This window comes from Homo sapiens, chromosome 19, assembly GCF_000001405.40.
Source record: "Homo sapiens chromosome 19, GRCh38.p14 Primary Assembly".
NCBI classification, from domain to species: Eukaryota; Metazoa; Chordata; class Mammalia; order Primates; family Hominidae; genus Homo; species Homo sapiens.
Window position 1 is genome coordinate 16433988 of NC_000019.10, and position 27481 is coordinate 16461468.

The 27481-nt window shown below is 49.3% G+C and overlaps 1 protein-coding gene across 13 annotated transcripts in view, besides 9 other annotated features; it reads right to left on the reverse strand.

Moving 5' to 3' along the window:
- EPS15L1 (epidermal growth factor receptor pathway substrate 15 like 1) overlaps window positions 1–27481 on the reverse strand; it is a 116766-nt gene that overhangs the window by 78741 nt on the left and 10544 nt on the right. For 11 of the 13 annotated variants that reach the window (NR_047665.2, XM_017027089.3, NM_001438225.1 and 8 more), the window contains exons 2-7: window positions 8191–8232; window positions 7905–7994; window positions 6875–6922; window positions 3783–3878; window positions 2950–3012; window positions 378–503 (exon numbers count right to left, since the gene is read on the reverse strand). Coding sequence is in view for 11 of the 13 variants with exons in the window: in XM_017027089.3 (XP_016882578.1) it covers window positions 378–503; window positions 2950–3012; window positions 3783–3878; window positions 6875–6922; window positions 7905–7994; window positions 8191–8232 (465 nt within the window). In the remaining 2 variants the exon portion in view is untranslated. Of the gene's footprint in view, window positions 1–377; window positions 504–2949; window positions 3013–3782; window positions 3879–6874; window positions 6923–7904; window positions 7995–8190; window positions 8233–27481 lie in introns of those variants that run through there. The other 2 variants (NR_047666.1, XM_047439174.1) reach the window with 2 other exon arrangements.
- Window positions 7074–7574: an enhancer, noted in NCBI's record as "H3K4me1 hESC enhancer chr19:16551872-16552372 (GRCh37/hg19 assembly coordinates)". NCBI's record gives its function as "activates a minimal SCP1, AML or CMV promoter by ChIP-STARR-seq in primed H9 embryonic stem cells {active_cell/tissue: H9 hESC(primed)}" and the evidence as "EXISTENCE:reporter gene assay evidence [ECO:0000049][PMID:30033119]".
- Window positions 7575–8075: an enhancer, noted in NCBI's record as "H3K4me1 hESC enhancer chr19:16552373-16552873 (GRCh37/hg19 assembly coordinates)". NCBI's record gives its function as "activates a minimal SCP1, AML or CMV promoter by ChIP-STARR-seq in primed H9 embryonic stem cells {active_cell/tissue: H9 hESC(primed)}" and the evidence as "EXISTENCE:reporter gene assay evidence [ECO:0000049][PMID:30033119]".
- Window positions 10498–10677: an enhancer, noted in NCBI's record as "active region_14232". NCBI's record gives its function as "activates an Ori minimal core promoter by ATAC-STARR-seq in GM12878 lymphoblastoid cells {active_cell/tissue: GM12878}" and the evidence as "EXISTENCE:reporter gene assay evidence [ECO:0000049][PMID:35858748]".
- Window positions 10780–11979: an enhancer, noted in NCBI's record as "CDK7 strongly-dependent group 2 enhancer chr19:16555578-16556777 (GRCh37/hg19 assembly coordinates)". NCBI's record gives its function as "activates an origin of replication core promoter dependent on BRD2, BRD4, P300/CBP, MED14 and CDK7 cofactors, with strong dependence on CDK7, by STARR-seq in HCT116 cells {active_cell/tissue: HCT116}" and the evidence as "EXISTENCE:reporter gene assay evidence [ECO:0000049][PMID:35650434]".
- Window positions 11714–11793: an enhancer, noted in NCBI's record as "active region_14233". NCBI's record gives its function as "activates an Ori minimal core promoter by ATAC-STARR-seq in GM12878 lymphoblastoid cells {active_cell/tissue: GM12878}" and the evidence as "EXISTENCE:reporter gene assay evidence [ECO:0000049][PMID:35858748]".
- Window positions 11904–11963: an enhancer, noted in NCBI's record as "active region_14234". NCBI's record gives its function as "activates an Ori minimal core promoter by ATAC-STARR-seq in GM12878 lymphoblastoid cells {active_cell/tissue: GM12878}" and the evidence as "EXISTENCE:reporter gene assay evidence [ECO:0000049][PMID:35858748]".
- Window positions 19581–20081: an enhancer, noted in NCBI's record as "H3K4me1 hESC enhancer chr19:16564379-16564879 (GRCh37/hg19 assembly coordinates)". NCBI's record gives its function as "activates a minimal SCP1, AML or CMV promoter by ChIP-STARR-seq in primed H9 embryonic stem cells {active_cell/tissue: H9 hESC(primed)}" and the evidence as "EXISTENCE:reporter gene assay evidence [ECO:0000049][PMID:30033119]".
- Window positions 20617–21116: an enhancer, noted in NCBI's record as "H3K27ac hESC enhancer chr19:16565415-16565914 (GRCh37/hg19 assembly coordinates)". NCBI's record gives its function as "activates a minimal SCP1, AML or CMV promoter by ChIP-STARR-seq in primed H9 embryonic stem cells {active_cell/tissue: H9 hESC(primed)}" and the evidence as "EXISTENCE:reporter gene assay evidence [ECO:0000049][PMID:30033119]".
- Window positions 22560–23318: an enhancer, noted in NCBI's record as "H3K27ac-H3K4me1 hESC enhancer chr19:16567358-16568116 (GRCh37/hg19 assembly coordinates)". NCBI's record gives its function as "activates a minimal SCP1, AML or CMV promoter by ChIP-STARR-seq in naive H9 embryonic stem cells {active_cell/tissue: H9 hESC(naive)}" and the evidence as "EXISTENCE:reporter gene assay evidence [ECO:0000049][PMID:30033119]".

Below are 27481 nucleotides of genomic sequence, written 5' to 3' on the forward strand. Positions count from 1 at the left end.
TAAATAAATAGACACAGACACACATTCCCACATTCAGCACAATGGAAAGGGGGAAAGCCCAAGTTGGGGAGCTTAAGACTGAGCTCTACTGGTCCCAAAGCCCCAGGCAGCAATTTCACTTCTGAGTCCACCTCCTCATCTGTGAAGTGGAAGGATTCTGGCACCTTCCCCAGGGACTGGGTGAACACTGTAAGCCACACCCTAGGAAGCCCTGAGCCAGCTGGGGCTGGACCCACAGGAGCGCTGATGAAAGCCCCTGATGGCACAGGGAGAAAACAGAGCAAGAGCCTTGTAAGCACCATGGGGAAAGAGAACAGTGGCGCCCACACACAGCAGGGACACTGAGTGCAGAAGAACCAAGCCCGTGGCCCACTTACCCTGCCCAGGACATCAAGAGGCAGCTTTGAGTTCATGAGGACTGGCTTGACTTTGTCTCCAGAGAGCAAACCATTGATGGGCAAGAGGCTTTCAAAAATCCCATCAAATTTGGCCTTTTCTTCCACCTAGTTGGAAAGAAATAGCCCGAGTAAGTAGGAGAGCACACCTGTGTGAATGTCCAGACCGAGCTCTGACCGAAAGCCAAGTGAAAATGGCCACGGACCCATCATCACCCTTGGCTAAAAGCACAAAATGATCTTAGAACAGTCTTGGCCCCTTGGTTTCCAAAGTGAACATATACCCTGAAGGAAATAACGTTATGGCAACCTCGGATCTGGGAGCCAAGGTCCTCAGGAGGGAGGCCCTGGCCCCGGGTCTTGTCCTTCGTCCTAGCTGCTGCCTGAGTGTGGCAGGAGTCTCCCATGGTGGGGCAGTGTCTTTGCAGGGAGACAAAGATCAGTCTCACCTGCCTCCAAGGAGCCCACTTGTACCAGAAAGACAAAAGTGTGAGCAGATGTTAGTGCTTGAGCAAATAATTATCAAAATCAACTTAAAGTACAGGAAGTCCTCTTTTTTTTTTTTTTTTTCTTTTTTTGAGACAAAAATCTTGCTCTGTTGCCCAGGCTGGAGTGTAGTGGCACAATCTCAGCTCACTGCAACTTCCGACTCCCAGGTTCAAGCAATTCTCGTGCCTCAGCACTCGTACCTCCCGAGTAGCTGGGATCACAGGCATGCGCCACCAGGCCCGGCTAATTTTTGTATTTTTTGTAGAGATGGTGTTTCAACATGATGGCCGGGTTGGTCTTGAACTCCTGGCCTCAAGTGATCCGCCTGCCTCGGCCTCCCAAAGTGCTGGGATTACAGGTGTGAGCCACCAAGCCCAGCCACATACAGGAAGCCCTCCATTTCTAATGGTAAATAAATTAATACGTAAATAGGAATAGCTCTTCATGAACAGAGGGAAGGTACAGCATTAGGATGGGGAGTCACAGTTCCTGCTGTTCTGAAAGACATAGGGCAGGCAGCCCGTAAAAGGGGCCATGAGTGAGGCAGTGGCTTCCAGTCTGTTCCACCCTCCAAAGGAAACTTAACATTCCTGAACTGTACACTTAGAAATGGTTAAGATGGTAAATGTTACATGATGTGTCTTTCAACCACAATAAAAATTTTTTAATTTTTAAAAGACAAAAACCAAGACAGAGCCCTCAGTCACAGAGATGAGATCACCGGCAGACACCGCATGCTTTCACAGCTGTTGGTGCTAAGAAGCTGAGCGCTGCAGGTCTTTCTCGGGGGCCTGGGATCCTCTCCTGGCCATCGGACTTGCTGACTCAGTGCCTTCAGAAGCCCAGAAATGTTCACAACGGAAACAAACACTTGGCACTTCGGGCTTGTTCTTTCTGACTGTGGCTGTGAATGGAATGCAGAATCTCTCTCGACCACAGTACACCCCAATTACAGCATCTGGTCCTGTGCTCCCTGACTCCTCTCTGCGAGGTCCCCAGGCCCCTCAGTCCCAGCTCTTCCAGTGAGGCCTGGACATAACCCCTGGTGGAAAAGAGCCATCACATTTTAAAGTATAAGATCTCTTGGCACTGTTTCCCATGACAAAGTAGCTCTTTTTCAAAGTCCACACAATGCGCTGGGTGACAGGGAGAAACCCTTCACCACAGTGATTGCCACTGGCAAAGTGCTTGATGACAGAGGTGACTGCATGACTCCTCAGTCACATGACATATCTTCATGTCCTCTCCCTGCACAGATACCCCCACCCAGCCCATGACCTCTCCAAGAAGGGAGCAAACCAACCGTGTAAACATGGGACGAAAGTGCTTGGGACCTTTATTTGAGAGCAAGAGTGTTATTCATGTCAGGATTTAAGCCACATAAACGTGAGGAAATGTGACAGTCTGAAAGTGAAGGGAAGGTGAGGAGGCCTGATGTTACTTGGAGGGACCATGCTCACTTCCTTTAGAAGGAATTCTGTACTTAGAAGACAGCCCTCGTTTTTTTTCTTCTTTCTGGACGCAGTAGCTTATCTTTCCAGCCACAACATCCTCTGTTTTAAAAATAACACTTCAAGTGCTGAGAGAGGCTTTTCACAAAGCAATCAGAACATCAGGGAGGAAAGAATGGTAACATGCAAAGTGGCTGGAAAGAAGCGAGAAAGCAAGGGACACATTTGGGGGTCCACGTGCTTGCAAGCTCTCACCGTTTCCTCTTCTATTCTGAATAACCAACACAAGCAGCAAAAACCACAGAATGTGACCTAAAGATGCAAGATTTAAACTGCAGCCCTTTAATAATCCAACTCCTGACACTTAGTTGTCCAGGTAGGCAACTCCCAATTCCAGTGAAGGGCCACAGCCTTTGTAAAAGGTGTTCATTAGAAGAGGCGTTTCATCCAAGTGCTGTGGCCACTCACACTGAGACAGAAGAGCTGACACAATCATCCTATAAAATGTTCTGAACAACATCAAACTAGAACAATTCCAGAACAATTCTAGAACAACTGCTGGAACAATTCTATCTGAAGGAGAGCCAAGGAGGGAGCTATTCCCGTTCACTTACCCTCACAGCCCAGTGGGCCTCTGCAGAGGGCGGTGTGACCATCAGAGGGCTGCTGGTGTCGTGCTGAGAAGAGAGAGAAACATTCCTTTGTGGCTGGCACAGAATTAAATCATAGGTGGGTGGGTTTGCTGAAAAGGATACACGTTTCAAAGTGCTTTCAAAAAAGGGAAGACTTCACAAAGTTAAACACAGAATCACCACATGACCCAGCAATTCCACTCCTACGTATTGACCCAAATGAATTAAAAACGGATGTCCAAACAAATCCTTGTACATGAATGCTGGTAGCAGCACTATTCACAACAGTCAAAAGGGTGGAAATAACCCACATGTCCAGAGAGATGAATGGATAAAGATGTGGTCCATCCAGTAAATGGAATATGGAAACACTGATCCATTCTACAACATGGATGAACCCTGAAAACACGATGCTGAGAGAGAGGCCAGACACAAAAGACCATGTTAGAGAATTCCATTGATAGGAAATGTCCAGAACAGGCAAATCCATTGACAGAAATAAAATTAGTGGTTGCCAGCGACTGGGAGGGGGAGACAAGGAGTGATTACTTAATGTGGATGGGGTCTCCTTGCGGAGGGATGAAAAAGTTCTGGAGCTAGACAGAGGTAATGAAGACACAACACTGTAAATGCACTAAATACCACTAAATAGTTCACTTTAAAATTATTAATTTTCTATTATGTGAATTTCACCACAATAAAAGGGGAAGGCTAGAGAAAACATGGAAATATACATGCACATACACACATGCACATACACACACACACACATCTGGTATTAGAAGAATGTGAACTTGAAGGACTTGGACACTCACAAATTTAGGCGGTGGCATGCTCAAATTCAGATTGCTCAAGGTAACTTCATGGCCACTCTGTGCACAGGCCACCAGTCTCAGTGCAACATAGAAACCCTGCAAGTCCAAAGAAAGGGAAGGAGTAAACAGCATATCGCCAGTGAGGGTAGGGGGAGCTGTCTCTAACAGCAGGCTTCAGGGAAAGAGGATGTGCACTTCAACAATGAAGGCCGTCCGTGCAAAAACCCCTTGGAGCGTTGGGCTGAACTGGACTCACCTTGGGGACATCGCTTAAATGAATACACTAAAATGGACTTATCCTGGCCAGGTGTGGTGGCTCATGTCTGTAATCCTAGCACTTTGGGAGACCGAGGCAGGTGGATCACCTGAGGTCAGGAGTTCGAGACCAGCCTGGCCAACATGGCGAAACCTCATTTCTACTAAAAACATAAAAATCAGCCAGGCGTGGTGGCAGGTGCCTGAAATCCCAGCTACTTGGGAGGCTGAGGCAGGAGAATCACTTGAACCCAGAGGGTGGAGGCTGCAGTGAGCCAAGATCATGCCACTTCACTCCAGGCTGGGCAAAAAGAGCAAAACTCCGTCTCAAAATAAATAAATAAAATAAAATAAAATGGACTTATTCCACTGCATCTGGAAATCTGTAAAATTTCAGATGCATATATTTTCCAAAAACTATGAGCTCCCAACATTTAGGAAATGTTAGGTTGTATAAAGCAACAAAATTAAACATGGTTAAGGTTACGAATGATGGACCAAATATGTGCCGAATTTTTGTTTGTTTTAGAGATAGGGTCTCACTCTGTCACCCAGAGTGCAGTGGCGCAATCACAGCTCACTGCAACCTCAAACTCATGGGCTCAAGCGATCCTCCTGCCTCAGCCTCCTGAGTAGCTGGGACCACAGGTGTGCACCACTATGCCCAGCTAAGTTTTTATTTATTTTTTTAGAGGTGGGATCTCACTATGTTGCCCAGGCTGGTCTCAAATTCCTGTCCTCCTGCCTTAGCTTCCTGAGTAGCTAGGATTACAGGTATGAGCCACTGCACCTGGCTATGTGTTGAATTTTTTTTAAAGCAGTCGTAAATACACACGGTTGGTCAGAAACTCATATCTGTGGTTCACCACGATCCCCTCGGCCTCGTTGAATGGAACATCCCCTGCCCACCCCCAGTGGCCTGACGTGGACCCCACCTAGACACGGGAAGGAAGTTGAACTAGGCTGTCAGGTGCCTCCCTCCTAACCCAGGACCCACCACACAAAGGCTCAGTGGACTTGTGAGGGATCACTTAGCTTGTTTTTTTTCTGTTTTTTTTTTTTTTTATTAACTGGCCTAAGAACATGGATACTTTTAAAGCTATAAATACTGTTAACAGTTTTAAAAGTGTCTTCAAAGAGGTAAGTGCTAGGATCGGCCTTTCTCAGCCTGCTGTCCTCAGAAGCCCTTGCAGAGTGTAGAGGATCATAAGAGGGTTTTGAGAAAAGGGGACCTTTCATCCCTGCAAGGTCTGAGAAAAGAGAAAAATTAATAAATAGTAAAGAAAAAAAGAAAAAGGAATTAAGTAAGTTTAGAGGAACTGCATTAAGCAAAGTCAAATTTATTTTCCATAGGAATTCTCAGAACTTTTAACATGCAGACATGAGGCCGGGCACGGTGGCTCATGCCTATAATCCCAGCACTTAGGGAGGCCAAGATGGGAGGATTGCTTGAGCACAGGAGTTTGAGACCAACCTGGGCATAGTGAGACCTCGTCTCTACAAAAAAAATAATAAAAATTAGCCAGGTGTGGCAGTGTGTGCCTGTGGCCTCAGGTACACGAGAGGCTGAGGCAGAAGATCACTTGAACCCAGAAGATCGAGGCTGCAGTAAGCAGTGATCGCACCACTGCACTCCAGCCTGGGCAACAGAGCGAGGCTCAAAAAATAAAAAATAAAAAAACAAAACAACAAACATGCAGACATGCACCATGAACCTCAAAGAAGGGAGGTACAAGTGAAGGGGGCTTCCTGGACAGACTGGATCACAAGTCATGGCACAGCACAAACAAGGTCCCTTCTAACAAAATGGCCATCTACGACCACTTAAAATCACTTATAAGTACAGGCTGAGTATTCCTCATCCCAAATGCTTGGTATCAGAAGAGTTTCAGATTTCAGATTTTTTTTTTTTTTTTTTCAGATGGGGTTTTCACTGTGGAGGCTAAGGCATGAGAATCTTGTGAATCCAGAGGGCAGAGGCTGCAGTGAGCCAAGATCATGTCACTGCACTCCAGCCTGGGCAAGAGTTAGACTCTGTCTCCAAAAAAAAAAAAAAAAAACTCTGATTAAGGCCTTTAGTCAAAGTTACACCAATGTCTACTTTGTTACATTAATAACACCAATGTGGCTGGGCGTGGTGGCTCATGCCCATAATCCCAGCAGTTTGGGAGGCCGAGGTGGGCAGATCACCTGAGGTCAGGAGTTCGAGACCAGCCTGGCCAAGATAGTGAAACACTATCTCTACTAAAAATACAAAAATTAGCCAGGCATGATGGTTCTCGCCTGTAATCCCAGCTACTCCAGAGGCTGAGGCAGGGGAATCACTTGATCCTGGGAGGTGGAGGTTGCAGTGAGCCGAGATTGCACCACTGCACTCCAGCCTGGGCAACAGAGTGAGACTCCATGTCAAAAAAATAAAAAATAACACCAATGTTATTTTCTGGCTCTGATCACTGTGCTGTGGTTATGTAAGACACCATCACTGGGGAGAGCTGGCAAAAGATACACAGGAACCCTCCAAGCTATTTGTGCAACTTCCACGAGAGACTGGTCCAAAATAAAAAGTCTGGACAACACTTTAATCACATGTAAGGTTACAAAACATTAAAAGAAAAATAAATAAATAAATAAATAAAAGATACACTAGCCATGAAAGATGGCTCCAAGTGTTTAAAAGACCTTTATTTCAAAATGAAAACTTCCCGTGTTAAGTTTGACAGCCGTGCTCATGCCTAGTAATACTTGACAGTGGAGGAATGTGGAAGGAGCCGTGGAGGTCACCCAGCCTGGGGGCTCTGCCCAGCCCCTCCATTTGCTCTGTGTACATGTGTATATACCTGTTTGTCCAAGAACCCTTTACCTTCTGGATCGGCCAAGTCCCATATCTGCGGAAACACAAAAATGCTCATAAGCATGACTGCCGATCACTGTCCACGTGTTAACAAAAACCAGAGCCGCCACCACCCCATCACTGGCCTTGCGGGGCAGGAGTGACTGTCCCCAGGTTGTCCTGCAGATGAAGAAGCCAATTCAGAGCAGGTGAATGATCTGCCCAGGGGCGCACAGCCAGTCAGCGGCAGGGCCCAGAGGACATCCAGGTGCACTCAGCTCCCAAGCCAATGGTGTTTATGACACCCTTCTTCCCCCAACTAAAGTCCGCAAGTGGCCAAGCGCGGTGGTTCACGCCTGTAATCCCAGCACTTTGGGAGGCCAAGGTGGGCGATTCACCTGAGGTCAGGAGTGCGAGACCAGTCTGGCTAACACAGTGAAACCCCGTCCCTACTAAAAATACAAAAAATTAGCCGGGCGTGGTGGCAGGTGCCTGTAGCCCCAGCTACTCGGGAGGCTGAGGCAGGAGAATGGCGTGAACCCAGAAGGTGGAGCTTGCAGTGAGCTGAGATCACGCTACTGCACTCCAGCCTGGGCGACAGAGCGAGACTGTCTCAAAAAAAAAATTAGCCGGGTGTGGTAGCATGTGCCTGTAATCCCAGCTATTCAAGAGGCTGAGGCAGGAGAATCACTTGAACCCGGGAGGAGGAGGTTGCAGTGAGCCGAGATCGCGCCGCTGCATTCCAGCCTAGGCAACAAGAGCGAAACTCTGTCTCAAAAAAAAAAAAAAAAAAAAAAGTCCACAAGCTATCAAGACCCCAAAAGTACTCGGGTTTCTTATCTGCTACCAAAGTAGTGGTGGGGGCTGCCACCTGGGCATTTGGATCCACCAGCTGCAGCCTGAGAGGTCTGCAGCGACCAGGCCACTACCCAGGAGGCCGGGCCCCATGGAAGGAGGCCTGCACAGGCTGGCCCTGACCTGCGGGGGGAGCTGTGAGGGCAGCCACAGAAGAGAAATCACTATTCATCTTCACATACCTTCCCAAGGATAATGTCCGAGAGGCCAGACTTCTTTAGAAAAAGCGCAGCTTCACTCGCCCCCACCCTCCCTGTGTATGCCGGATCGACCTGAAATGGGAGACCAAGAGGCAAAATAACTTTTCAGCAAATGCAGCAGCAGGTGAAGTGGCACCCGCCACGCTAACTATCCGCTGACAGTGAACAGAAAAGGACAAAAGGCCGCTCAGCCGGGCTTCTATTCTGTACTGTGCTTTCAGCTCAGGCATGCTCTAGTTCCATCTGAAGAGACATCAGCTAAACTTACCTGCTTGTAATAAGATTCATACAACGAATTTCCAGTGGGAATCTGTAAATGAAACCACAGATATTGGTCAAAAGTGAACACAACCCCTTGGGGAAAAAAAGGGTTGCCCCCTCAATTTTGTCATGACCAAAATATATGATGATAGTTAGAGTCAAAATGCATGCACTTTAAACATCCTCTGAACACAGAATTCAGTTTATCTTCAGACACAGATATTATTATGCTTACCTGATTTAGAAAAAGTAAGCTTAATGTTCTTTAATAAATCCTGATTCTAGGGCAAACAATATAGTCACTCAGGAAACAGCAGCAGCAGCCCAGTGTCAATTTCCATTCACTGAGCAAAGGGATTTCAGCTCCTGGAGAGCTCAGAGGGAAAGGACACTCTATCCTCTGAGATTGTTCTCTGGCTCCGGAATCAGAAAAGAAGTTTCCACGCATTATCATAAATCACCAGGCCTGCAAGCTTTCGACCAGTTTCCCTGGCCTGGGTCTGGTTCTCAACCATCCCATCCATCCTCCTCCAGCTACCTGAGTGCTCAGAGACGCACACTGACCAGCCCGCGCCCGGAGAGCGCTGGCCAGTAACTGTTCCCACCAGGGAAGGAAGGAAGTGCAGTGTCCTCAGCTTGGCACTGAAGATATTCCATTTCCCGACACCTCAGAGCCCCAAGACATCGCTGTTTGGAGGTCACTTCCCCATCTAGGGTCACGCAGCTAATCGGGGCCACCAGAGGCCACACCTGGATCCAGCCTGGCTGGCGGCCAAGTCCAGACACTTCCCGCTGTGTCCTGAGCTCTGCCAGACGTCTCCCAGGGAAGGGGAGGGACACCCAGGGGAGTGTGCCAACCTGGTGGGGAATTATGCAGTCCCTGAAATGCTGGCTGTAAAAGTTTACGTGCGTTGGTGTTTTAGTAAGTGAGGTGAAAAAAGAGCACACAAACCTGCCGCTGATGTAATAAGCGATAAAAGTGAAGAATGCACAATGACACCTAATTATACAGAATGGATGTGTAAACAGCTAAAGAGAATAGAACTGGGCAGGGAAAAGAGGACTATCTTGGGGGCAGGATTACAGTGTTTATCCAACAAATTCTGGGACTGCTGTTGTACGATTTCTCACAATGAATAAAACCAGGGGGACGTAGACTCCTTCCAGTTATAGTCATTGGATTTGAACCAATACGCACCCACCACTTGCATATTGTTGTGCTACAAAGGGTCATTTGAAGCTAAAAATAATGCCCAGGCCGGGCGCAGTGGCTCACGCCTATAATCCCAGTACTTTGTGAGGCCAAGGCAGGCAGATCACCTGAGGTCAGGAGTTCGAGACCTGGCCAACATGACAAAGCGAGACACCATCTCTACAACAAATACAAAAATTAGCCAGGCGTGGTGGCATGCACCTGTAATCCCAGCTACTTGGGAGGCTGAGGCAGGAGAATCGCTTGAACCCAGGAGGCGGAGGTTGCAGTGAGCCGAGATCGTACCACTGCACTCCAGCCTGGGTGACAAGAGTGAAACTCTGTCTCAAAAATAAAAAGAAAAAAATAATAATGCCCGGATTATGGTCAGCGTCTCTGGGGGACGCCAACACCTGTGAATGTATAAAGAAGTGAAAGTTGTAATCCCAAACAGCACTTTGGGAGGCCGAGGCAGGCAGATCACGAGGTCAGGAGCTCAAGATCAGTCTGGCCAACATAGTGAAACCCCGTCTCTACTAAAAATACAGAAAATTAGTCAGGTGTGGTGGTGTGCGCCTGTAATCCCAGCTACTCAGGAGGCTGAGACAGGAGAATTGCATTAATCCGGGAGGCAGAGATTGCAGTGAGCCGAGATCGCGCCACTGCACTCCAGCCCAGGCGACGGTGCGAGACTCCGTCTCAAAAAAAAAAAAAAAAAAAAGAAGTGAAAGTACAGAGAAAACTACCATGACAAAATGAAAATAGAAGGAAAATAGCATAAAGATCTGAAAGGGGAGAGGGAAAAAGTCAAAAAAAAAAAAAAGAGGAAAAGAAAGGGGGAAACACTGAAAAGGCAGAAAAAACTAGAATAACATGAAAAAGCAAGAAAAGCCAGAGATTTAGGAGCCATCATTTTAAAACAGACAAAGACATCATGGAAAAGACATAGGAGGTAAGTGTGTATAGCAACAGCAGCCCCAAGATGGCTGCCCCCCTCGTGCTTGGAGGCAGTGACACCATTCCTGGGTGAGGGGTACAGGAAGGAGTGGCTATCACCCTTAGCATCTTACAACCTCGTTAGATGACAGTGTCCAGCCATCACACCTGTGTCAACTTCTGGGCTCAAACTCCAGCTTATTTCCAAAATATGTCTCCCCAGAGGAAGAAGACCCACAGAAAGGAGGCCAAGGCAGGCAGGCTGTTTGTCATCTGTCAGTAAAGGTGACAGTGGTCAGGTCTAGGCAGCAAACAGCACATCGCCTGCCATGGGTTCACAGACTCCAGAGGCCCTCACTTCAGATGACAAAGGTGCCCTTCCTGCCAATGATCAGAGAGGTCTGGATCTGAAGCACATTTCCAGACAAGTTTTTTTTTTTTTTTTTGAGACAGGGTCTTGTTCTGTCACCCAAGCTGGAGAGCAGTGGCGCAATCTCAGCTCATTGCAATCTCTGACTCCTGGATTCAAGCCATTCTCCTACCTCAGCCTCCCGAGTAGCTGGGACTACAGGTGCGTGCCACCATGCCCACTTAATTTCTGTATTTTCAGTAGAAGCGAGGTTTCACCATATTGGCCAGGCTGGTCCTGACCTCAGGTGATCCGCCTGCTTTGGCCTCCCAAAGTGCTGGGATTACAGGCATGAGCCACCACGCCCAGCCCCAGGCGAGTTTTTTAACAATCTCATGGGAAGCAAGGGAAAGAGGTTTCCAAGCTACTGTGATTCCAGTGGAAAAAAAAGAGTTTCAGTCTTTGAGGCATGCAGGGTTATTAAATATCTGCTCTACTTCCCAGGCGCTAATGAGCAACAAGATCCGCAACCAAGAGAAACAAGGCCTGGACTAATCCAGAAGAGTCGCTGAAGGACACAGCCCAGAGCTCCAACCTCTGCCCATCCATGCTAAAGGCTCATCCGGCTCGAACACTTGATGACCACCGGATGTCACTCTCAAAAGACCTACAGCTGAGGGAAAGCCCAGGGAGTATGGCTCAACCATTGCTCATCACCACGGGAGTCCATCTGGGTAACCTGGAACAATGACAGTGGTCAGAGGTTTTGATCTAATTACACATATGTCAGGTTTTGCATATGCAAAAGCAGAAGGGGGAAGAAAGAAGGTACAGCACCAGGCCCCAACTGCCACTTCCTCTTATGCCAGGCTTCTTCCCAGGAACAATGGACTCACACCTGCACGCTGCCCTGATATGTCATTGCGACAGAACTGAAGACACATGTTGCTAATGACATAAATCCCCAGCCCCAGGCAGTCTGTCACTGGCCCCTGTGCAGAGACCTCTTGGCCCCCAAAAGGAAGATTCACAGCTACTGGGAAAGAGCCCTCTGTATGCTGAGAGCAGCCTCTGGAGCTGCCCACCCATGTCTGACCCCAAAGTGAGCCTGGGGCCAAGCCCGAGGCAACAGCAGAGAGGGGACGCACCAGGGGATGAGGCCTGCACCGTAAGAGGCTGCAGGTGGCACCAGGATGGCCGTAGGAATGGAAGGAAGTGCAGCAGAGCTGACCCGATGTGTTCTCCTGACCCAGCCCACTGTGCTGAGAAGACGCCATCTTCGCCTCTGCAGTGTGTGAATTGTTGATGAGGTTCAGTGTAGCTTTCAGCTCGGTCTTTCAGTTGCTCTTCCTAACTCAAAATGCTAAGAGACAACATGCAAAGTTCCTGTGGCCTCCTCACTTATCCTCCAGCCCAGAAACAATTTACAAGTGGGATGACAGAGAGAGGGGCACAAGGAGAAGGACAAGTTCACATCCTTCTGCTCTGAAGGCTTTAAAACACCGCAATTCACACAAGCGCCTGTAACTGTAACCCAGGACAACAGCAGTTGAGATGGAGAAACCCAGCAGAACCACCTCGGAGGAGAAACTGTCTCAGGATTGTGTTCTAACGACTCCTAAGCAGGGTTCACCCAACTCTGATCCCCGCACGTGGCCGAGGGCAGGACGCCTCCTACATCTTCATGCCTGGCTGCCTCCTGCCCAAACTCTCACTCTCACTCTGCTAGCAAAGTACGCGCTCTTGTGCAAAACAAACCAATGATCATCAGCCTTGGTTCAAAATGACTTTTGGAAAGCAATCCATTTTCACTGTAAAATGTTCAGAGAAGTACCTATAATCCCTTGTTTCCTATCCAGTACCTCTCATCCTCCCGACAACGCTAAAGGGCAGGTAATATTACTAGTCCAGTTGACAGGTGGGGAAACTGAGTTTGCCCTACTCAGGACCACAACAGCCAATGAGCAACAGTCAGTGAAGCACCCAGGATAGGTGGTCCTGGAGTCAGACCCTCACCTACTGTGCACCCTGTAATGACAGCCCAGGTGTCACAGGGCTGTGCACCGGACCACAGGACAGCCTCATGCATATGCTGGCCTGGGAAAATGCACGTCCGTGATGACGTGCTGGAGCATTTTATTAAACAGAAGAGGTCAAAAGGCAACACTCAATTTGAGCATATAAATGGACTTGAAAGCCAGTGTTTTCGATGACCTGCCATTTCCCCAGGAAAGCTGAGACCCCATAATGGCTATGTTTTTCAATGCCACTGCCAAGTTTTGCAGGAAGTTAGGCATATAACACTGAAACACATCTCAGTCTGAGTTCCTACTTAGAAAAACATATGGATGCAAAAACATAGCCCGGAGTAGAGCTTGCTTGATAATCCTTCCATTTCTGCCTTCCCCTTAGAGGCCCCCACAGGCCTTGCACAACCATCACCCAATGTGAGCCCAGCCCTCCCAGCAGGCCGGCCCACATTCTGCGGGTGAGATAACCTGGCTCAGTCATGTGGCAAGCACGGGGCAGAACTGGGACTTGACTCAAAACATTCAAAAGGCATCAGGGAAACGCTGGGGTATGTCTAACCTTCCTGGACTGGATGGGCAGCTCTCTCCAACTGCTCCATCAGAGGTTTCTACAGCAGAGCTAAGGTAAATGTTACCAAGAGAAGGAGAAGACTTGGCAAGTGAAAAGAGAGCTTTTCCAAATCACAAGGAAAAAGACATCTCAATTAAAAATGAGCAAAGAGAGAGGCAATTCAGAAAGAAGAGATGCAGCAAAGTTAGAAAGAAAATGTTCCATCTCACTAGTAATTTAAGTATTACAGGGCCAGGCACTCTGGCTCACACCTGTAATCCCAGCACTTAGGGAGGCCAAGGTGGGTGAATCACCTGAGGTCAGGAGTTCAAGACCAGCCTGGCCAACATGATGAAACCCCATCACTACTAAAAATACAAAAATTAGCCAGGCATGGTGGCAGGTGCCTGTAATCCCAGTTACTCAGGAGGCTGAGGCAGGAGAATCACTTGAACCTGGGAGGCGGAGGCTGCAGTGAGCCGAGATCATACCACTGCACTCCAGCCTGAGCGACAGAGCAAGACTTCATCTTCGGAAAAAAAAAAAAAGGCAGAGAAGCTAAAACAATTCTGAAAAAGAATAATAAAGTGGAAAGAGTCAGTCTACCTGATTTCAAGACTGACTCTATAGCTAGAGTAGTTAAGACAGTGGAGTATTGGCAGGGGGCGGGCACAGACAGTAATGCACAGAACAGAATGTAGAATCTGAGAAACAGACACACACAGATCTGCCCAGTGGATTTCTTGACAAAGGTGCAAAAGTATTTCAGGAGGAAGGAAAGCCTTTCCACAAAGGGCACTGGAGCAATCGGCATCCATAGGAAAAACATGGGCCTCGAACTAAAAGTCTTATGCCTCGTACAAAATGTAACTCAAAGTGGATCATGAATTCAAATGTAAAACATAATCCTCAGGATCTAGGGCAAAGCAAAGAGTTCTTAGACTTGACACCAAAAGCCCGATTCACAAAAGGAAAGATTGGCAGACAAACTTTATGTTTGCACTGTGAAAGAGCCATGTAAGGCCTGGCGTGGTGGTTCATGCCTGTAATCCCAGCACTTTGGGAGGCCGAGGCAGGAGGATCACCAGAGTTTGGGAGTTCAAGACCAGTCTGACCTACATGGAGAAACCCCATCTCTACTAAAAATGTAAAATTAGCCAGGCATGGTGGCGCATGCCTGTAATCCCAGCTACTCGGGAGGCTGAGGCAGGAGAATCGCTTGAACCCGGGAGATGGAGGTTGAGGTGAGCCGAGATCACACCATTGCACCATTGCACTCCAGCCTGGGCAATAAGAGCAAAATTCCGTATTAAAAAAAAAGGGGGGGGGAGAAAGGCCGGGCGCGGTGGCTCACACCTGTAATCCCAGCACATTGGGAGGCCAAGGTAGGCGGATCACCTGGGGTCAGGAGTTCAAGACCAGCCTGGCTAACATGGCTAAAAATACAAAAAAATTAGCTGGGTGTAGTGGTGTGCACCTGTAATCCCAGCTACCCAGGAGGCTAAGCCAGGAGAACTGCTTGAACCCAGCGGGCAGAGGCTGCAGTGAGCCGAGATTGTGCCACTGCACTCTAGCCTGGGTGACAGAGCAAGACTCCGTCTCAAAAAAAAAAGCCAGATAAAAAGGTGAAAAGGCAAGCTACAGACTAGAAAGAAAGGTTTGCAAAGCACATATCCAACAAATGACTACTATCTAAAATATATACTAGAGAGCTCTCAAATTCAACAGCATAAAAAAGAAAACAATCAAATTAGAACATGGGCAAGCCAGGCATGGTGGTGCGTACCTGTAGTCCCAGCACTTTGGGAGGCCAAAGCAGGAGGACTGCTTGAGCCCAGGAGTTCCAGACCAGCCTGGGCAACATAGTGAGACCCCATCTCTACATGAAATTAAAAAACTAGCCAGGCGTCGTGGTGCACACCTGTAGTCCCAGCTACTCAGGAAGCCAAAGCAGGAGGATTGCTTGATCCCAGGAGTTCAAGACCAGCCTGGGCAACATAACAAGATCTGATTTCTTAAAAAACAAACAAACAAACAAACAAACAAACAAAAAAACACGAAGAAGAAAAGAACATGGGCAAAAGATCTGAAGGCAAAAAGACATTTTACCAAAGAGGAAATATAGCAGATGGCAAATAAACGTATGAAAATATGTTTAACATCATTAGCAAAAAGAAGAATGCAAATTAAAACCACAGTGAGATGCCACTGCACGCTATCAGAGTGGCTAAAATAACAAATAGTGACAACATCAAATGCTGGTGAGGATGCAGGCAAACTGGGCCACTCATACACTGCTGATGGGAAAGTTAAAAGGTACGGTGACTCTGGAAACAGACTGGCAGTTTCTTAAAACAACAACAACAAAAAAAAACTAAACACAACATGAAACTACCGCATGAACCAGCAACTGTCCTGGGCATTTACCCGGGAGAAATGAAGAGTCATGTTCATACCACATCCTGTATGCAGTGTTGGCCACAGCTTTATATGTCACTGCTCCAAACTGGTAACACCCCGGATGTCCTCCAATAAGTGAGTGGTTCAGCAAACTGTGGTCCAAGCACACCATGGAATACTACTCAGCAATGAAAAGGAATGAACAGCTGACACATATGCAATAATCTGGATGACTCTCCAGAGAATTATGCTGAATGACAAAGGCCAAACCTCAAAGGTTACATACTGAATAATTCCATCACATAACATCATTAAAATGATAAAATTGTAGAAATGAACAGAGTGGTGGTTGCCGGGGATAAGGAAGAGATGGGCTGGGAGGGAAGTGGGTGTGGCTATAAAAGGGCAACAGGAGGGACGTGTTCTGTACCTGGCTATCAACAAGACCCTATCTCTACAAAAAAAAAAAAATAGCCACGCATGGTGGCACATGCCTGTGGTCCCAGCTACTCAGGAGGCTGAGGCAGAAGGATTACCTGAGCCCAGGAGTTCAAGGCTGCAGTGAGCTATGATCGTGCTACTGCACTCCAGCCTGGGCAACAGAGCTGTCTCTTAAAAAAGAAAAAAAAAGCTTTCAAACCTTGATTCCGTGCTCTGATGCCCTCCCCAGTCCATGTCATTCACCTTGCTGCTTTGCTGAATGTCTAAACTCTCAGGGGTGGTTCTATTGCTTCTCGGTTCCTCTCCAGGGCAGGGAACGCATGCCTTACCCCTGTGTCATGCCCCACTGCAGGCCCTGAGTTCTGTCTGGGCTGGACGGAGGCCGTGAGCCCCAGGCATGTCCATCTTCTTTTTTTTTTTTTTTTTTTTTGAGACGGAGTCTCACTTTGTTGCCCAGGCTGGAGTGCAATGGTGCGATCTCGGCTCACTGCAACCTCCGCCTCCCAGGTTCAAGTGATTCTCCTGCCTCAGCCTCCCAAGTAGCTGGGATTACAGATGCATGCCAACACACCTGGCTAAATTTTTGTATTTTTTAGTAGAGACAGGGTTTCACCATGTTGGCCAGGATGGTCTCGCCCTCCTGACCTCAGGTGATCCACCCGCCTCAGCCTCCCAAAGTGCTGGGATTACAGGCGTGAGCCACCACGCCTGGCCAGGGCATGTCCAACTTCTGCTGGTCTCGCAAGGTGGTCATTTGGGTCCCCAGAGAATCCAGGACTCTTCCTTCAGAACCTGAACATAGCCATCATCATCAATATCCCAGATGCAATACTGTACCACCATTATGCAAATGTTGCTTCAGAGGAAACTGGATAAATGGTACAGGCTCTTTTTTTTTTGAGACAAGAGTCTCGCTCTGTTGCCCAGGCTGGATGGCAGTGGTGCAATCTTGGCTCACTACAACCTCCGCCTCCCAGGTTCAAGCAATTCTCCTGCCTCAGCCTCCCGAGTAGCTGGGATTACAGGCACCCACCACCGTGCCCGGCTAGTTTTTATACTTTTAGTAGAGACCGGGTCTCACCACGTTGGCCAGGCTGGTCTTGAACTCCTGACCTCAGGTGATCTGCCTGCCTCGGCCTCCCAAAGTGCTGGGATTACAGGCGTGAGCCACCGCGCCCGCCCAGACTCTCCAACAACTGCAAGTGAGTCTACCATCATCTCAAAATGAGAAGTTTTGTTTTTTCTTTAAAGACTTAGGAAACCTAATGACCAAATGCAAGGTGACATTTGCAGACAATCAGGGAAATGTGAATATGGTCTTGTTATCAGATAATACCAATACCAAAGGCGTTATTATTAGTTGTGTAAGGTGTGATAAGGCATTGTGGTTATGTAAAGGAAAACGGTCTTAACTGTTAGAGGTGCATGTTGAAATACAATTTCTTTTATTTATTTATTTTATTTTTTTTATTTTTTTTGAGATGGAGTTTTGCTCTGTCGCCCAGGCTGGAGTGCAGTGGTGAGATCTCCACTCACTGCAAGCTCCACCTCCCGGGTTCACGCCATTCTCCTGCCTCAGCCTCCCAAGTAGCTGAGACTACAGGTGCCCGCCACCTCACTCGTCTAATTTTTTGTATTTTTTAGTAGAGACAGGGTTTCACCATGTTAGCCAGGATGGTCTCGATCTCCTGACCTCGTGATCCACCCGCCTCGGCCTGCCAGAGTGCTGGGATTACAGGCGTGAGCCACCGCGCCTGGCCTACAATTTCTAAGATTAAAAAAAAACAGGCCAGGCACGGTGGCTCACACCTGTAATCCTAGCACTTTGGGAGGTCGAGGCAGGCAGTTACCTGAGGCTGGGAGTTCAAGACCAGCCTGGCCAACATGGTGAAACCCTGTCTCTACTAAAAATACAAAAAAATTAGCTGGGTGCGGTGGCGTGCACCTGTAATCCCAGTTACTCTGGAGGCTGAGGCAGGAGAAATGCTTAAACCCAGGAGGCGTAGGTTGCAGTGAGCCAAGATCACGCCACTGCACTCCAGCCTGGGCTACAGAGTGAGACTTCGTCTCAAAAAAAAAAAACCACACAACAGGAGGCTGGGTGCAGTGGCTCACGCCTGTCATCCCAGCACTTTGGGAGGCTGAGGTGGGTAGATCACCTGAGGTCAGGAGTTCTAAACCAGCCTGGCCAACATGGTGAAACCCCATCTCTACTAAAAATATAAAAATTAGCCAAGCGTGGTGGCAGGCACCTGGAATCCCAGCTACTCAGGAGGCTGCGGCAGGAGAATCACTTGAACCCGGGAGGCAGAGTTTGCAGCGAGCTGAGATTATGCTACTGCACTCCAGCCTGGGCAACAGGAGTGAAATTCCATCTCGAAAAAAAAAAAAAAACACAAGCCAGAGCCAGGTGTAGTGGCACTCGCCTGTAGTCCCAGCTACTCGAGAAGCTAAGGCAGGAGGATTGCCTGAGGCCAGGAATTCCAGGCTGCAGTGAGCTATGATCACTGGGCCTCTGAATGGCTACTGCACTCCGGCCTGCACAACATAGCAAAATGTCATCTGAAAAAAAAAAAAAAAAAACCTAAGAACTAAAAATATACGTAGGTGGGGGAAAAGATCAAAGGGTGGTACAAAGAAATCTGCAAAATATTGATAACTGTTGTAAATGGGCAGTGGGTACATGGGAATTCATTAAACCCTTCCCTCTACATCTATTTTATTTTTTTATTTTTTTATTTTTTTTGAGATGGAGTCTCGCTCTGTCCCCCAAGCTGGAGCGCAGTGGCACGATCTTGGCTCACTGCAAGCTCCGCCTCCCCGGTTCATGCCATTCTCCTGCCTCAGCCTCCCGAATAGCTAGGACTACAGGTGCCCACCACCATGCCCAGCTAATTTTTTTGTATTTTTCTTAGTAGAGACGGGGTTTCACCGTGTTAGTCAGGATGGCCTCGATCTCCTGACCTCATGATCTGCCCGCCTCGGTCTCCCAAAGTGCTGGGATTACAGGTGTGAGCCACCGCGCCCGGGCTTTATTTTATTTTTCATAGAGACAGAGACTTGCTCTGTCACCCAGGCTAGAGTACAGTGGTGCCATCATAGCTCACTGCAGCCTCAACCTCCTGGACTTAAGGGATCCTCCTTCCTTAGCCTTCCAAGTAGCTGGGTCTATAAGTGCATGCCACCACACCCAGCTAATTACTATTTTTTATTTTTTGTAGAGACGGGGTCTTGCTTTGTTGCCCAGGCCAGTCTCTAACTCCTGGGTTCAAAAGATCTTCCCACCGGGGCCTCCCACGGTGCTGGGATTATAGGTGTGAGCATGCCCAGCCATCAACTTTTAATGTGTTTAAAGGCCATTTGGGCTGGGCACAGTGGCTCATGCCTGTAATCCCAACACTTTGGGAGGCCGAGGTGGGCGGATCATGAGGTCAGGAGATCGAGACCATCCTGGCTAACACGGTGAAACCCCGTCTCCACTAAAAATACAAAAAATTAGCCCAGCGTGGTGGCAGGCGCCTGCAGTCCCAGCTACTCGGGAGGCTGAAGCAGGAGAATGGCGTGAACCCGGGAGGCGGATCTTGCAGTGAGCCGACATCGAGCCACTGCACTCCAGCCTGGGCGACAGAGCGAGACTCCATCTCAAAAAAAAGAAAAAAAAAATGACTTATCGGGTACTATGTTCACTACCAGGGTGACAGGATCCGTATTCCAAACCTCAGCATCATGCAATACTCTCATGTAACAAATATGCACATGTACTCTCTGTATCTACAATAAAAAAAGCTGAAATCCAAGAAAGAAAAAAGAATTCCTATAAAAAAAAAAAAAAGGCCATTTGATGTGCTTCTGCCTTGGCAAGGACCCTAATGGCACAAGCTGCGTCAGGTTTAAGTGTGACAAATGAGGAGAGCTTGGTGACAGGATCGTGCTTCTGTGAAACAATACAAACTGGCATTCCTTTAGAACACACACAAGTGTGCCCTACCATGGCTACAAGGTCTGCTCCTGGGAGACTGAGAAGTGATGCAGGAGTGGGGGAAGGGTAAGAGGGTTCGCTGTTTTCCCCCCTTGAGGGCACAGATGCAGACTGCAAGGCACTGGAAACAGCAGAGGACTGGTTAAGCTGCTAATAAATTGCTGAGTCTCCATGGGACAGAATAAATACCTTACAGCCATCAAAACAGCAGAATGTTTACAAATGGGGTCCAATCTTCATCAGCTTGCTAAATGAGAAGGGGGCAATCTAGCAGGTGCAGTGTGTGACCTGGCTTATAAGCACACGGTATCCTATCGCCCCGCTACTGGAACCTGGCGGGACAGGGCCATGCTTACCAGGATTTCTACGGGCCAGCTAGTTTGCTTCCTCATGGCTTCCTATGTTCCCTGGTGTACTATGTCAGCATGAGCTGCTTTTGTAAATTAGACAGAAATAGAAAGATGTGCAAGGAAAAGCAGGATCTGAAGGAATTTTCATGGATTCTCCCCAGGGACCCAAATGAGTGCCTTGTGAGACCAGCAGAAGACGAACATGCTCGGGGCTCAAGGCCTCCATCCAAACCAGACAGAACTCAGGGCCTACAGTGGGGCATGGCACAGGGGTAAGGCCTACAGTCGCTGCCCTGGAGAGGAACCAACAAGCAAGAGAACTGCCCCGAGCATTTAGACATGCAGCAAAGCAGCAAGGTCAATGACATGGACCAGGAAGGTCGTCAGAACACAGAATCAAGGTTTGAAAGCTTTCTTTTTTCTTTTTTTTTTTTTTAAGAGACAGCTCTGGGCCAGGCATGGTGGCTCACACCTGTAACCCCAGCACTTTTGGGGGCTAAGGTGGGTGGATCACCTGAGGTCAGCAGTTTGAGACCAGCCTGGCCAACATGGTAAAAGCCTGTCTCTACTAAAAATATAAAATTAGCCAGGTGTGGTGGCGCACACCTGTAATCCCAGCTACTTGGGAGGCTGAGGCAGGAGAATTGCTTGAACTAGGGAGGCAGAGGCTGCAGTGAGCCAGGATCACATCATTGCACTCCAGCCTGGGCAACAAGAGCGAAACTCCATCTCAAAAAAAAAAAGAGAGACAGCTCTGTTGTCCAGGCTGGAGTGCAGTGGCACGACCATAGCTCACTGTAGCCTCAAATTCCTGGGCTTAAGTGATCCTCCTGCCTTAGCCTCCTGAGTAATTGGGACCATAGCCATGCACCACCATGTGTGGCTAATTTTTTTTTTCTTTTTTTTGTAAAGATTGGGGGGGTCTCATTATTTTGCCAGGCTGGTCTTGAACTCCTGGCCTCAAGCAATCCTCCTGCCTTGGCCTCCCAAAGTGCTGGGATTACAGGCATGAGCACCAAACTCAGCATTCCAGAAACAGAACTGCTGGAGAAAAAACATTGCCTGCAGCAGGCTTCCTGCCTCGATGCACTGCCCTGTGGAGGATGCAGGACTATGCTGAGCCCTAAACGTCTTCAGGAGAGACTGCCCAGCTCCATCTACACCTATGGGCTGTGTTCTCCCATCTTGCTTCACTAAGAGAAGCTGTCTCATGTGGAGGTCAACAGTGCTGCCAGACAAATGTGGATTTGAGTCCTGTCCTGCTGCTGGAATGCTGTGCAACCCTGGGGCAGGACGAGCAGCCTCTCTGTGCCTCAGCTTCTGCATCTGGAGATGAGGGTGAGCACTCCCACCCCCGGGGACTTGTCAATCACCGGCTGTTGTGATTCCTGGTATCCTCCTCATCGCCCTCCTTCCACTGGCTCCAGGTAAAAATGTACCCTCTCCCCAGAAACATCCCTCCATCTCTCTTCCACCTCCAGCTACTGACCTCCCCCCACCCTTCGCATAAAACCTCCTGAAAGCCAGGCGCAGTGGATCACACCTATAATTCCAGCAATATGGGAGACCAAGACGGGTGGATCACCTGAGGTCAGGAGTTCGAGACCAGCCTGACCAACATGGAGAAATCTTGTCTCTACTAAAAATATAAAATTAGCTAGGCATGGTGGCACAGGCCTGTAATCCCAGCTACTCAGGAGGCTGAGGCAGAAGAATCATTTGAACCCAGGAGGCAGAGGTTGCAGCGAGCCGAGGTTGTGCCATTGCACTCCAGCCTGGGCAACAAGAGGAAAACCCTGTCTCAAACAAACAAACAAAAAACCCTCCTGAAAAAGGGTCCACCCTTGGATTCCCCAGCTCTCCCTTCTTTGGACCTGGAAATTTATTTGTTTGCTCACTCAATCAACACATGCTGAACTCGTGCTAAGAGGCAGCACTGAGGATACAAAAGTGTGTAGGACAGAGTCCTGGGCTTCAGGCCAGGCGTGGTGGCTCACGCCTGTAATCTCAGCACTTTGGGAAGCCAAGGTGGGTGGATCACATGAGGTCAGGAGTTCGAGACCAGCCTGGCCAACATGGTGAAACTCTATCTCTACTAAACATATAAAAATTAGCTGGGCGTGGTGGCGGGTACCTGTAATCTCAGCTACTTGGGAGGCTGAGGCGGGAGAACCGCTTGAACCCAGGAGGCTAGAGGTTGCAGTGAGCCAAGATGATGCCATTGCACTCCAGCCTGGGTGACAAGAGTGAAACTCCATCTCAAAACAAAAACAAAAACAAAACAAACAAAAAATAGAGTCCTGGGCTTCAGGAAGGGCAGGCGGGACAAAGTCAGCCCAGGACTATGGCACAGGGGACCGCATGATATGACTGCAGCAGTAGGCACAGTGAGGGGAACTCAGGGCTTGGGGCCAGGTGTGCACCGGGACAGAGAAGACAGGTGAGCTGTGGGTGATTCAGCACGGCCCCAGTCAGGTGGAAGGGCATGTGCATAGGATGCCAGGGTCTGTGCACGCTGTGCTGAAAAGACAGGATGTCATCCCCAGGGCAAGCAGAACATGGGGAGGGGGTGCCTGCAGGCCAGCAAGGTGGGCGCATATGCATATGAGATGGTAAACGGCAGAAATCCGCTGCAAGGAGCAGGGCTGGAAGGAAGTGATCAGAGAGAGACTGCCATGGCCCTCCAGCAGCAGAACTCCAGCAGCCTGGGGACTGCAGCGACTCACAATGCAGACACCCGGAGAAGGAGGACATGCCAGTTCCCTAAAAACGAATGTGTTTCCTTGGGATGTCCCCAGGGGCATTGAGGTGGAAATCTAATTGCCATTCTAGACACCTTGGTGCAGGTGTGGAGGTGAACAACGGGACATTCCCCACCCACAGCCTCATGGAGCTGTGACAAAGCACAGAGACGGCTGCCAAGAGCTAGATGGAAGAGACAGGATGGAGGGCCAGTCCGCAGCCAGCAGCAGACATACACCCAGGGCACCAGGAGACCTGGAAGGCCCCCCCTCCATGGCTGAGCCTGTCCAGGGAGACTCAGTCAAGCGAGGCTGTGGAGCACCCGCACCAAAGCAGTGCCAGAGACAGGCTTGCCACGGGGAGGGAGGGAGGAGGCTCCACCACAGGAAATACCAGGGCAGCTGGGTCCTGGAGGGATGGAGGGGCGGGCGTGTAGGGAAGGGCTCAAGGGTCTTGTGCAGCCATGCAGAGGGCAGAAGGGATGGAACTGGAATGGCGCCCGGGCAGGAGGGGAACAGATTCCAGCCCTCCCTCCTGAAAACGCTGCTTAAGAGCAAAAGCAGATGAAGCCTCTGAGCAGCCCTCCCAGCTGCTGACCTGTGTCCCCTGGACATCACCCCTCCCGGGCATCTCAGAGAACAGACCTATTCAGTTCCATCTGTTTCCTTCCTCTGACCCATGAGCGGTCTCCCTGGAGAGACATGGGAGAGCAGTCACCCAAGACTGGGGGGGAGGGGGGAACACCGAGAGGGGCTCAATGACTCAGCAGTGTGTCCTCCGCAGCAGGAACACCCACCGCCTCCCACAAGGGCCCACTTCCCAGAGTCTCCCAACTTTCCAAAGTGTACCCCGGGCCTTCCCAACATTCCTTTCCTGCATCAGCTACTCCTGGGCTCCAATGTCCCTGCCATCTACTACTCCCTAACAGAGCACACTGCCCAGGACTCGGTTGGGATGGGTCTGGCCTCCTGTCGGGGTGTTCCTGACAGTGGGGGGTGGCTCCCTGCCAAGGACGCCAAGATCCCCTGCACTGGCCAGGTCAGTGCCATGCCACCTTCCTCCTCATCGCTGTGGGTGACAGCGTCAGCCTCCTAGTGCACTGTTCTTTTTCTGGCCCCTCTAAACATCAGGCACCCCTCGAGGCTCCCGGACCCCACAGTGAGCAGAAAGATGGTTGCTGCCACCATGGAGCATCATAGTCAGGGCATCAAAGCCAGTGAGCTGACACACACACCAACACAGAAGAGCAAATGCACAGCAGGGGTGACAAGGACAAGGACAGGGGCTCTGTCCTGATGGGAGGGCCGCCCCGCCCCCACCCCGCTTGCCCCATACATGCCTCTACAGAGCCTGGCCCAGCCTCCTCACCCACGGCCCTGCCTTCACCCGCTTCCCCACTGCACCTCGCACACAGCCACTCCTCTGCTCAGAAAGGCTCTTCAGGGTGTGTAACGGAGGCTAAGGTCCAAGCCCTGAGCCCAGTCCTGAAAGTGCTCCCTGGCCATCTCCTACCTTGCCGGGCTGATTTCACTCCACACACACACTCACTCACACACACTCAGCCACACACACATACACACAATCACACATGTACACTCAGGCTCACCCACATACACTCACACTCACATATATCACACTCAAGTCTCACCTCCTTCCCCCGGCTGGCAGAGCTCTACTGAACATATCGGGCACCTTTCACTCCTTGTCTTGGCACAAGATGCAGTCATGCATCGTTTAACTACAGGGATGCGTCCTGAGAGTTGCATCGTCAGGTTAATTTCATCGTCGTGAGGACATCCTGGAGTGAACTTACACAAACCTAGAAGGCAGCGCCTGCTCCACGCCTGGGCTGTGGTCTAGCCTATTACTCCCAGGCTACAAACCTGGGCAGCGTGGCCCGGTACAGAAAACTGCAGGCAACTGTAACACAATGCTAAGTAGCTGCGTATCTAAACATATCTAAACATAGCAAAGGCACAGGAAAAATACAGCAGTATAATCTTACGGGAGCACTGTCACATATGCAGTCCATCATGGTTATGCGGTGCGTGACTGCATTCCCTATGCTTGGGGCCGCTGCCTGCTGCAGGCCAACGCCCTGCTCTAAGATGACCCTAGGTTCCCCCAAATGAAATAAGTCCCTCCTGCCTCCACACTCCCATAGCCCCAAACTTTGACAAGGGACACTTCCTGAAGTTGATTTGATGGAAAAGCTGCTGTAATGACCGGCCCCTCTCACTACATTCTTAATGCCTGGAGGGTGGAGGGATCACGCTGTGCCCTCCTAGAAGCAGGCCTTCAGTAAATGTCTGTTGAGGGCATGGGTGAGATTAAAGTGTTGAGGGAGGCAGGTGGTGGGCTGAGTGCAGGAAGGTGCAGTTGGTAGTGGGGAGCGGGCAGACATAGCTCTGTGGCTCAGTAGCAGTGAGGACAAGCCACCAAGCCACCCTGGGCCTCAGTGTCCCCATCTGTAAAATGAGAATAGACAGCACCTGGCCTGAGGATGCTGGTAAGTCCCAAATGAGAATATGCAAGTGAAATACACTCTGCAATGGGAAGCCATTATTACATCCCCTATTATGGTTACTCTTGTATTATTATTCCTGAGACAGGGGAGCAGGCCGTATTTACAAAGAATGGTGGGCGGGGAGGGAGGTCAGGCAAGGCTGTGAATCAGCACGTGAGTTGCAGGTGTAAAATCACAGTCCTTATAGCCTGCCCTGCCAATTGATCTTTGCCAAGCAATAAAGTATTTCAACAAATGTTGGCTACACTATGGTACATATGGTAGCCATTTGCTCTCTCAACTCAACAGCTAAGCAGCTCCCAACATCTAGGATAGAACAATATTTCAGTTTGGGAATGGTGGCTCAGGCCTGTAATCCCAACACTTTGGAGATTAAGGCAGGAGGATCCCTTAAGGTCAGGAATTCAAGACCAGCCTGGGCAAAACAGTGAGACCCTAGCCCTACAAAAATTAAAAATCAGAAAATTAGCTGGGCGTGGTGGTGTGCTGAGGAGCACCTGCAGTCCCAGCTACTAAGGAGGCTGAGACAGGAGGATGAACCCAGGAGTCTGAGGCTGCAGTGAGCCGTGATGGCACCACTGCACTCCAACCTGGGCGACAGAGCCTGTCTCTAAAAATAAAAAAAGAACAGTGTTTCACCAATTCTCTTAGTCTCAGCTGTCATTTTCTTAAAAAAAATACAATTTTACACACAGCAGATAAGTACACACCTGTAAAAACCCACTTAGTGTGAATTAAAGGACATTTTAAATGTGCATTAAATGTGAATTAAAGGACATTTTCTAGTGGCTAAGAGTCAACAACAACAAATTAAATCAATAAAGTCAACTGACTATAAATGCCAACTCAGAGGCTGGCCTAAAAGAAAATGCCAACTCCATGGCCTGGTGTGAGCAAGCAAAATAACAGCAACAATTTGCACCCTGGTGATGGACAACCTTGCCCAGCCCATCAGCAATTGTGGAGCCTGCTCCTCCACTCCAGAAGCCTCGACCCACAGAGAAAGTTTCCAAAGCCAGCACGGGGGTGCCGCGGGCACAGAGCGTTCTAGTTCTCAGCAAAGAAAAAACTCAAAGGGAAGAACGTTTGCAAGAACATGCGCCTAGGCCAATCGTGTCTGGGACCCCCCAACCACAAACAGTGCCATTTGTAGGGTGTGGGGGGAATTGAGGGGGACAGTCCATCCCCATAACCGTACAGTCCTGGTTAAACACGCTCAGTGTGAGGGCCTCATCATCAAGTTTTTTCGTGTTTCATCTTTCCCCTTTGGAGAGTGTGAAATGAGATAGTTTTCTCTTCCACTGGAAAATATAAAATTGAAAAGCACGTCCTCTTCAGATTAAGAAAAGCCAGCTGGGGCCAGGCGCGGTGGCTCACGCCTGTAATCCCAGCACTTTGGGAGGCCGAGGCGGGCGGATCATGAGGTCAGGAGATCGAGACCATCCTGGCTAACACGGTGAAACCCCGTCTCTACTAAAAATACAAAAATTAGCCGGGCGTGGTGGCAGGCGCCTGTAGTCCCAGCTACTCAGGAGGCTGAGGCAGGAGAATGGCATGAACCCGGGAGACGGAGCTTGCAGTGAGCCGAGATTGCGCCACTGCACTCCAGCCTGGGCGACAGAGCAAGACTCCGTCTCTTAAAAAAAAAAAAAAAAAGAAAGAAAGAAAAGCCAGCTGGGCATAGTGGCTGACACATGCAATCCCAGCACTTTCGGAGGCCGAGGCAGGTGGATCGCTTTGAGCTCAGGAGTTCGAAACTGGCCTAGGCAACATGGAGAAACCCCATCTCTACAAAAAATACA